The sequence below is a fragment of the Homo sapiens genome, chromosome 17 (genome assembly GCF_000001405.40).
Source record: "Homo sapiens chromosome 17, GRCh38.p14 Primary Assembly".
NCBI classification, from domain to species: Eukaryota; Metazoa; Chordata; class Mammalia; order Primates; family Hominidae; genus Homo; species Homo sapiens.
Window position 1 is genome coordinate 57,011,775 of NC_000017.11, and position 10,344 is coordinate 57,022,118.

General features: G+C 45.7%; 3 annotated features.

Annotated features, from left to right (window-relative positions):
* Window positions 4,334-4,628: a silencer, noted in NCBI's record as "tiled region #8860; K562 Repressive non-DNase unmatched - State 23:Low". NCBI's record gives its function as "represses a minimal TATA promoter and a strong SV40 promoter by Sharpr-MPRA in K562 cells {active_cell/tissue: K562}" and the evidence as "EXISTENCE:reporter gene assay evidence [ECO:0000049][PMID:27701403]".
* Window positions 5,167-5,993: an enhancer, noted in NCBI's record as "OCT4-NANOG-H3K27ac-H3K4me1 hESC enhancer chr17:55094302-55095128 (GRCh37/hg19 assembly coordinates)". NCBI's record gives its function as "activates a minimal SCP1, AML or CMV promoter by ChIP-STARR-seq in naive and primed H9 embryonic stem cells {active_cell/tissue: H9 hESC(naive and primed)}" and the evidence as "EXISTENCE:reporter gene assay evidence [ECO:0000049][PMID:30033119]".
* Window positions 5,994-6,818: an enhancer, noted in NCBI's record as "H3K27ac-H3K4me1 hESC enhancer chr17:55095129-55095953 (GRCh37/hg19 assembly coordinates)". NCBI's record gives its function as "activates a minimal SCP1, AML or CMV promoter by ChIP-STARR-seq in primed H9 embryonic stem cells {active_cell/tissue: H9 hESC(primed)}" and the evidence as "EXISTENCE:reporter gene assay evidence [ECO:0000049][PMID:30033119]".

Sequence of the window (10,344 nt, forward strand, 5' to 3'; positions counted from 1 at the left end):
ACCCAAGAACTGACATGCGTTTCAGTCCCATGGACTCCATCTCTTGCTTGTGGGATTCACATTGTTCTTGTCCTTCTCCACTTTACATTCCTTGTTCCTTCCTGACTGCTTGCCCTGTGTACTTCAATCTCCAGCATCAGATTTGGAGACAAAAGCCTTATGAAGACTTCTTAACCAGCTCCACACTGCATAAGTCAAATCCCTGTTACACCTTCCCCCATACGCACGGCTGTGCACATGCAAACACGCACACACCGTTCTGCTTCTGAAATTGAATCCTTTTTTATTTTTGAGATAGAGTCACTCAGGCTTTAGGGCAGTGGTGCGATCACAGCCGCCTCGAACTTCTGGGCTCAAGCCATCCTCCTGCCTCGGCCTCCCAAGTAGCTGGGACTATCGGTGCGTGCTACCACTCCCAGCTAATTCTTTTATTTATTTATATATTTATATATTTATTTATTTACTTATTTTGAGACAGAGTCTCGCTCTGTCACCAGGCTGGAGTGCAGTGGCATGATCTCGGTTCACTGCTACCTCTGCCTCCTGGATTCAAGTGATTCTCCTGCCTCAGCCCCCCGAGTAGCTGGGATTACAGACGCGTGCTATGATGCCCAGCTAATTTTTGTATTTTTAGTACAGATGAGTTTTCGCCATGTTGGCCAGGCTGGTCTCCAACTCCTGGCCTTGTGTGACCCGCCCGTCTTAGCCTCCCAAAGTGTTGGGATTATAGGCATGAGCCACTGCACCCGGCCACCAGCTAATTCTTTTTTAAGTTTTATTTTTGTAGAGACAGGGTCTGGCTATGTTGGCCTGGCTAGTCTCAAACTCCTGCCCTCAAGCAATCCTTCCACCTCAGCCTCCCAAAGTACTGGGATTACAGGCAGGGACCACTGTGCTCAGCTGCTGATTGAATCCTGATTGATACAAAACTTTATTATTTTAATGGCTTCAAAATTCTCCACAATTGGAATCTGCATATCTGATGTCTTTCCGTTGCCTATACTTGTGAGCAACAATTGATCAGATACTCTCAAATCACATCGTTCTTAGTGTTGCCACCTAATGTTGCTGAGAAATTTGAAACCAATTCACTTCTTTTTCATCTTTGTAAATAATGAGTTTATTTTATTTTATTTTTTATTATTTATTTATTTATTTATTTTGAGACAGGGTCTCACTCTGGTTGCCCAGGCTGGAGTGCAGTGGCGTGATATTGGCTCACTGCCTCCCCCATCTCCTGGGCTCAGGTGATTCTCCCACCTCAGCCTCTAAAGCAGCTGAGACTGCAGAGGCCTGCTGCCAAGCCCGGCAACTTTTGTTTGTATTTTTAGTAGAGACTAGGTTTTACCATGTTACCCCAGGCTGATCTCGAACTCCTGGACTCAAGCTATTCGCCCTCCTTGGGCTCCCAAAGTGCGGGGATTACAGATGTGAGCCACCACACCTAGCCAACCAGTTTAATAAATGGTTGCTGTAAATTTTTTTTTTTTTTTTTTTGAGACGGAGTCTCGCTCTGTCGCCCAGGCTGGAGTGCAGTGGCGGGATCTCGGCTCACTGCAAGCTCCGCCTCCCGGATTCACGCCATTCTCCTGCCTCAGCCTCCCAAGTAGCTGGGACTACAGGCGCCCGCCACTACGCCCGGCTAATTTTTTGTATTTTTAGTAGAGACGGGGTTTCACCGTTTTAGCCGGGATGGTCTTGATCTCCTGACCTCGTGATCCGCCCGCCTCGGCCTCCCAAAGTGCTGGGATTACAGGCGTGAGCCACCGCGCCCGGCCAAATATTTTTGTTAAATTATGTAAACCGGGAACGTCTGATGGTTACATTGATGTTTAGCTTTTAATGAATTTTGCCTGATGTGTCGTGAGCTTTTAGATCCCCAGGCTCTGATCTTCAGTTCAGCAATGCTTTCCAGTATTTATTTGAATATTGTTTTAAGATATTTTCCCACTTTGTTGTCCTTTAGCTTTCATTCTAGATACTTTTTCTCCAGACTCCCGTCAACATCATTACTTCATTTTCGGTAATGTCACTCTAGACTTTGAGTTTCTTTTTTTTCCTTTTCCTTTTTTTTTTTTTTTGAGACGGAATCTCCGTCTGTCACCAAGGCTGGAGTGCAGTGGCATGATTCCAGCTCACTGCAACCTCCGCCTCCTGGGTTCAAGCAATTCTCTTGCCTCAGCCTCCTGAGTAGCTGGGACTACAGGCGCCCACCACCACGCCCGGCTGATTTTTGTATTTTTAGTAAAGATGGGGTTTCACCATGTTGGCCAGGATGGTCTTGATCTCTTGACCTCGTGATCTGCCTGCCTCGGCCTCCCAGAGTGCTGGGATTACAGGCATGAGTCACTGCGCCCGGCTAGACTTTGAGTTTCTAAAGGATTCTTAACTTCTATAATTATCTTTCTCCTTAATTTATTTTCCCTAGTTATGCCAGCTGCTGTTTCACCTTATCTTTTCATCTCATTTTACATTTCTTATTTCACAGGCTCCCGGTTTGCTTTAATTTCCTTGAGAGCGAGAAAAGTATTTGTAGTTTCCCAGTGCAAAGCTTCCAAGGGATGTTCCTCATTTATCTTTTGTGCTTTGTGTTAATTTCCTCCATTTTAGTTGCAGGTGTTTTTTCCCTATGTTTATGTGTTTGCTTTTTTATGTGTCTGTATCTTTGAATGAGGGCAGTTATATAATCATCTAATTGATTATCTGGTTATTTTTCAGATTGTCCACTTAATTCTTATTCAGGAAGCCTAGATGTGGCGGAGCTATATGGTCCTCACAGTTCTTCAGTTGCCTAAGGGCGGTGAATGCCCAGCTCTTGGATAATAATTATTGGGAACTTATTTCCTGTGTCCCTTAGGACTTAGGGAGTGTTTCCTTCCTAATGACATGAGTGCTCAGAATTTGTTGTGTTCCCAGCTTCAGGATGAACCCAAAACTTTGGTAAGATGCAAAGTCCATGATAAATCCAGGGACTCCTTATTTGATGAATATATTAGTTATCTATTACTGTATAAAAAATTACGCAGAAGGCCAGGCATGCTGGCTCATGCCTGTAATTCTAGCACTTTGGGAAGCCAAGGTGGAAGGGTTGCTTGAAGCCAGGAGTTCAAAACAAGCCTGGTTAATATAGCGAGGCCCTGTCCCTATTAATTTTTAAAAAATTAAAATAAATAAAATACCCAGAAACTTGGTGGCTTAAAACAACATTTATTATCTGACGGTTTCTGTATGTGAGGAGTCCACCTGTGGCTTAGCTGGGTCCTCTACTTTAGGACCTCTACAAGACTGCAATCAAGGGTTGGCCAGGGCAGCAGTCATCTCAAGGCCCAACTAGGGTAGAATGTGGTTCCAAGTTCAGCCATGAGGTTATTGGCACGATTCGCTTCCTCATAGGCTGTTGGGCTGAAGGACTCCCTTAATTACTTGTCATGTGGACCCTTCCATGGGCAGCTCACAATATGGCAGCTGGCTTCATCAGATAGACACAGAGAAAGAAAGAGTGAGAGAGCCAGAGAGAGAGAGCATGGGCAAATGTGCAAGACAAAGGTCACGATCTTTTTTTTTTTTTTTGAGACGGAGTCTTGCTCTGTCCCCTAGGCTGGAGTGCAGTGGTGCGATCTCGGCTCACTGCAAGCTCCACCTCCTGGGTTCACGCCATTCTCCTGCCTTAGCCTCCCCAGTAGCTGGGACTACAGGCACCCGCCACCACACCTGGCTAATTTTTTGTATTTTTAGTAGAGACGGGGTTTCACCATGTTAGCCAGGATGGTCTCAATCTCCTGACCTCGTGATCTGCCCGCCTCGGCTTCCCAAAGTGTTGGGATTACAGGCATGAGCCACCGTGCCTGGCCTAGGTCATGATCTTTTATAATGAAATCTCAGAAGTGACATCTTATTACTTTTGCCTCTTCTTTAGAAGCAAGTCTTTAGGGAGGACTTAGAAACAAGAAAAGGGGAAGAAATCTTTTCTCTCCCAGCTCCTCAACCCTCAACACTGAATGTTCCATGTGCCTGGCTTTCTGGAAACCTCCTGCCCCTTCTACCTAGCTGCTTTCTGATTTCTCTTCAGCTCTCAGAATAAATATGAATCTCTCAAGAAGCCCTCTCTGATCCCCCAAGCTAAGGTAGAACCCTGTTTTGCTCACTCTCTAAGCACTCTACCTGTACTTTGTAATCCTCAGTCTTCTTAAGACAGAGTAGAAACAGGGCTCGGTTTCAGCTCACCTGCTCTAGAGCATTCTTTCATGCATCCCCACTGATCCCAAAACCCACACCACTACCTCACTCCTCTTTTACTTAAAGAATTCCAGCATGGTTCTTAGGAGATAATGAAGGTTGTGGAGTGTCCCACCTAGGGAAGGGATGCTGCACAATTGATTTGCAGCCTTGTTGCTGCAGGCCAGACCACCAAGTGGCCCATTACTCAAGATAGCCATCGCAACTAGATATGCTGCCTTGCATACCCCACCCCTCACCGGCTTTGCTCAGCCCAGCCTACATAACCTACCCTGCTGTCAATGCCCATGCTTTGCATAATAAAAAAAGCCCTACTGGCTCTCTATGCCTCGCTTACCTCAGGACATAAGCTCCAAGGAGGCCTTGTCTGGGAAAACTTTTTCAGGCTCAGGTCAATTTCTATTGCTTTGAGAGCCCAAGAACCCATGGTTGGTAACACGTTCTTTGAGGGCTCATCTGGGATCAGGCTACATGGGGAGATTTTTCTTCTGCTAGTGGGGAGACTTGAGGGCTGATGGGACTGCTGGACAATATCCCTTAGTGGCTGACAGCAGCTGCCTGAACTTTTGACTCAGTGTCACCACAATGGATCAGTCTCCAGCCCCTTGGAACACCTCGCCCAAACCTCAAGGCAACACTTTTCTCCCTTCCTTTTCTCTGTCTTTCCTATCCCTTTTCTATTTTTTTCTGTCATTTGGGGTGCTTCGCCCCTCCTCTTCTAATCCCTTCTGGTTTGGGTTGCCTTATTAGACATCCATGAGGGATGGGTTGACATGATTTTCCTGATTTACTGGTCTGGGTCACTTGAATAAACATCCACACAGGATGAATTAAAAGGGTTGACCATCCAGTTCTGGTTAACCCAGCAGGCAGTGGGATGAGTCACACCCATCCCCTGGCCTAAATTGATTTGAGTTTAAGTCCCAAGAATCTCTCTCTCTCTCTCTTTGGGAGTCTGTCCAAATGTGTAGTCCTGCTGGTTTGGGGAGACTGCCCGAGACAGGGTGCCAGAAACGCCCAGCTAGCTTTCAGGAAGGCACCAGGGAGGCCTGGGTGTGACGGTCAGTATTGGTTTTCTAAACACTGAGGAAAGTTCAGAACACAAACCGTTAATGTCAAGCCTCTGAGCCCAAGCTAAGCCATCATATCCCCTATGACCTGCACGTACACATCCAGATGGCCGGTTCCTGCCTTAACTGATGACATTCCACCACAAAAGAAATGAAAATGGCCTGTTACTGCCTTAACTGATGGCATTATCTTGTGAAATTCCTTCTCCTGGCTCATCCTGGCTCAAAAGCTCCCCTACTGAGCACCTTGTGACCCCCCACTCCTGCCTGCCAGAGAACAACCCCCCTTTTTCCTTTACCTACCCAAATCCTATGAAACGGCCCCACCCCTATCTCCCTTCGCTGACTCTCTTTTCGGACTCAGCCCGCCTGCACCCAGGTGAAATAAACAGCCATGTTGCTCACACAAAGCCTGTTTGGTGGTCTCTTCACACAGACGCGAGTGAAAGTTAACTTACTACAAAATTAAGAAATTTAAGAGGCTTTGGCCTGTGGTTCTAAGATAGTGTTATGGGATCTTTGGGGTGTCACTTTTCTGGCTGGAAACCTCTGTGCTGGTGGCCCCTTTGACCGGGTTCTTGTCCTGAGTCCAGGAAGAATGAGGTACAGAGACAAGTGGAAGGTGAACAAGATAAAGAGGAGCTTTATTGAGTGTTACAACAGCTCAGAGGAGACCTGCAGTGGGTAGCTCCTCTGTAGGCAGGTCTTCTCGTCGGGTGTTCAGCTCTCAGCACAGAGGAGGCCCTCAAGAGGGAAGCTCCACTCTGCAACTGGTCATCCTGAAGTCTGTGGCTCTCAGCAGAGAGGGTAGCTCCTCTCTGCAGCTGATCATCCTGTCATCTCCAGCTCTCAGAAGAGTGGGTAGCTGCTCTCTGCAGCTGGTCATCCCATCATCTCTCCATCCTCTGCCCTGCTCTGGCTGAGCCCCGGGCTTTTATGGATCTCAGAGGGGGAGGAAGTGTATGCCGATTGGTACATGGGCCAACTCAGAAGAGGCACCACAAGTCCCCACTCCTGGGGGCTCAGGAAGGCCCCCCTGCCCTTTTAGGCTCAGAAGTGCCTGCCCTTCTGCCGGTCTTCTCCCTGCTGTTGGCTCCCGCTCCAATTCTGCCATGATGCCTGTTAGAGACAAACTGCTCCAAAAAGCTTCTTGGTGCTGCCCGCCCCTCCCCACTCTGCAACTCCTCTCCATGCTGCCCCAAGCCTCTTTACATTTCTAAGCCCTTATCTAGGCACTGCAGTGAACCCGGCAGACTTTACCTATCAGGACTTGCTGCTATAAAGCAAACCCCAATTACAAACCATCCAGACCCCACAGGGGGAGGTCATGGGAAGCATCAACAAACTTTACCTACATCCTCCGGTACCATAAATGTCACAGGTGATATGTGGCAGAGTTAACCAACAAACGACCCTGGGGTCTCTCTCCCCCATATAAACCCCTCATTTTGTAAACTCAGGGCTGCCTCCTCTGTCTGTAACCGAGCAGCCAGCAGGTTCAATAAACTTACTTGCCTGAACTTGGGTCTCTCTCTCTCGTCCTTTCTCTCAGCTGACCTTACAATGCCCGGCTAATTTTTGCATTTTTTGGTAGAGATGGGGTTTCACCATGTGGGCTAGGCTGGTTTCGAACTCCTGATCTCAAATGATCCACCTGCCTTGGCCTCCCAAAGTGCTGGGATTACAGGTGTGAGCCACTGTGCCCACCCAAAGCATAACAATCTTTTTTTTTTTTTTTTTTTTTTGAGACGGAGTCTCGCTCTGTCACCCAGGCTGGAGTGCAGTGGTGCGATCTCCGCTCACTGCAAGCTCCGCCTCCCGGGTTCACACCATTCTCCTGCCTCAGCCTCCCAAGTACCTGGGACTACAGGCGCCCGCCACCACGCCCGGCTAATATTTTGAGGTTTTTTTTAGTAGATACGGGGTTTCACCATGTTAGCCAAGATGGTCTCAATATCCTGACCTAGTGATCCGCCCACCTCAGCCTCCCAAAGTGCAGGGATTACAGGTGTGAGCCACCGCGCCTGGCCCAAAGCATAGCAATCTTAAAAGCATGTATCGTTATGAATATTGGGACATCTGGACTTTCCATCATTGTAAGAATGTGTCTTTTGCAGGTATCTTCAAGCTGTTTCCTGAACTGTAAACATCTCATGACTGTGAGTTGTGACAAGCATGGAATGCGCCTTGTTAGTCTCAAGATGAGCTGAACTCAAAATGGCATCACCCTGGCTCTGCTATGCTCCTATTTCCCTAACATAACCCCCAAAATTATAACTGGACAGATCCCTCTCAAAATCTAAGGTTTTGCTCATTTTGCATTGCATTACCTGATCATCTTGACTCTTGGAGGCATCAAAAATTACCTTGCATTATAAAAAAAATTTTAGCATTGATGTTTAATATCTAGGTAGGAAATAGTCTCTTTTGACTCCATGGCTCATATCCAGGTGATGCTGATGCAAGGGGTGGGCTCCTAAGGCCTTGGGTAGCTCCATCCCTGTGGCTCTGCAGGGTCCAGCCCCCACAGCTGCTTTCACGGTAGGCGTTGAGTGCCCTGGGCTTTTCCAGGCACATGGTGCAAGCTCTTGGTGGATCTACCATTCTAGGGTCTGGAGGATGGTGGTTCTCTTCTCACAGCTCCACTAGGCAGTGCTCCATTGAGGACTGAGTGTGGGGGCTCCAAGTTATCTTGGGACCTCCAAAGGAGAATTCACCCATTTCATATAGGCATTTGCAGGCAGAGATAAATCCATGGCTGGGCTCCAGGCTTTAAACAATCTAATCTGAGATTCTTACGGAACGAAGTTCTAGCAAAGCCAATTTAAAAAGAGAATAATTATCTTGCTGCACTTTATGCAAATAATCAGGCCAAGTATAATATGACTAAAACTTATTTTGCAAACACATTGGTCCTACCATGACTTGTCTTTGATTAAAAATGAAAGACTGGAGAAAAAATATTATAATACACCTGCTATTAGGTTCTAGTCTTGTCTGTTATTTTTGAGTTTTTTAAATATGATTTTTACAACATGGACTGAATCTTAAACCTTTTCTGGGCTGCAAGTCTCCCAACTAATGTTTGGAAATTTTTCTTCCATTTTTCTAACTTAAACTTGTGAAAAGAAAATAAAAACTTGGGACCCCAATTTACTATACCAAAGGGACAAAGTTAAGCTGAAACTGAGTCATGCAAGAAACTGCCTTTCCTTTTGTTTCTAAGCAGACAGCTACAGATAAAAGGTTAAGTATCTCCACAGGTCACTACTCTATGTTCACCTTATCTTATGCAAAGTTCTGTCTTACTGAGGGCAAGACAAATACATAATTTACTATTCCCCTACCTGCTCCTTTTCTCTTGCAACATGTGATTCAGTAACGTGACCATACCCTCCCTCTTCGCTTCCAGTCCACTTTTCTCCTTTACATATCGAAGCCCTCAAAATCATCTTTGGAGAAAGACACAGACCTCTCTTCTGGGTATATCCTTAACCTTGGCAAAATAAACTTCTAAATTGATTGAGACCTGTCTCAGATACTTTTTGGTTTACAAACTCAATAGAATTGCTACTACCTTTTTCCGAAGGCCCTGCAAGCTGAAGCTTATTCCTTGTGATACACGTGATAAGAGCACGTCAGATTGTCACTGCCTTCCTCCTCTGTAACTAAGATACTTTGAGTCTAACATCTGGATAGATTATGCCCACTATTAACATTTGTTTTTCTCCTGTTTATTCCATTTTTGGGAAGTGCCTTTTATTAAAAGTCTGTTTGCTTTATACTTCAGGCAACAGGAGACTGGCTCTCTGGACTATTCACCTAAATTAACGGCATCTGATCTCTTATAAGAATTATCGAACTCTTTGGGAGGCCGAGGCGGGCGGATCACGAGGTCAGGAGATCGAGACGATCCTGGCTAACATGGTGAAACCCCGTCTCTACTAAAAATACAAAAAATTAGCCGGGTGTGGTGGTGGGCGCCTGTAGTCCCAGCTACTCAGGAGGCTGAGGCAGGAGAATGGCGTGAAACTGGGAGGCAGAGCTTGCAGTAAGCCAAGATCGCACTGCTGCACTCCAGCCTGAGCGACAGAGCGAGACTCTGTCTCAAAAAAAAAAAAAAAAAAAAAAAAAAAAAAAAAAAAAAAAAAAAAAAAAGATCAAACTGAGCTTAAGCATGTTATTATCACTGGGTATTATTTAATTTTTTAAAATAATTATTTGTTATATTCAATAGGAGTATGGATGGTTAAAATTTATGTCTTCCAGGTTTCAACAGTGCCTAGTCTCTATAGGTCTTTAGAGCAGTCAGGAAGAGATCTCCATGCCCTGCACGGTTAGGCGGGAAGTAGCTTCAGCAGGAAGTAGCTTCAGAAGATGAGATCTTTGGACCTTTCTCCTTAAGAATAAGGAGAGTGAAATCTCTCAGTGGCTAATGAGACAGAGTAGTAATGGGGCTGAGCTTCAGCTCACCCCCACTAGAGCATTATTTCATGCATCCTCACTGATCACAAAACCTATACCACTACTTCCCTGATGCCATAATGTTTGAGCCATGCCTTTCACTTTAAGAATTCCAGGAGCTGGCCTTAGGCAGTTTGGTTCCAAGAACAGAATGTGTCTTACTCAGCTTTACATCTCTAGCACCTGGACCAGTGCCTGCCACATAGCACTGGGTAAATATTTGTCGAACTGAACTAAATTGGGAGTATCACACAGAGAACCTGGAGCTTGACTAAGAAATTGAGAAATGCATTTCCGGTTAATGGTTTCCATCAAGTTTCCTTTGGGACTTAAGTGATATGAGATATCCCTTTCACCATGCAATCCACCCCAGACATTGATGAGCTTGTCTTAATAAATAATGGTTCACCTGTCTCTTGCATCACTCTGAGACATTAGATGAACTCTTGCCAGATGCAGCATATTCCTTGTATCATCTAAAGAGTTATGTCCATTAGACATTAGCGTTGGCCAACTTGAAAATCTTGGGTTACAGTTTTTTTTCCATTATCTTTTTTTTTTTTAAACGGAATCT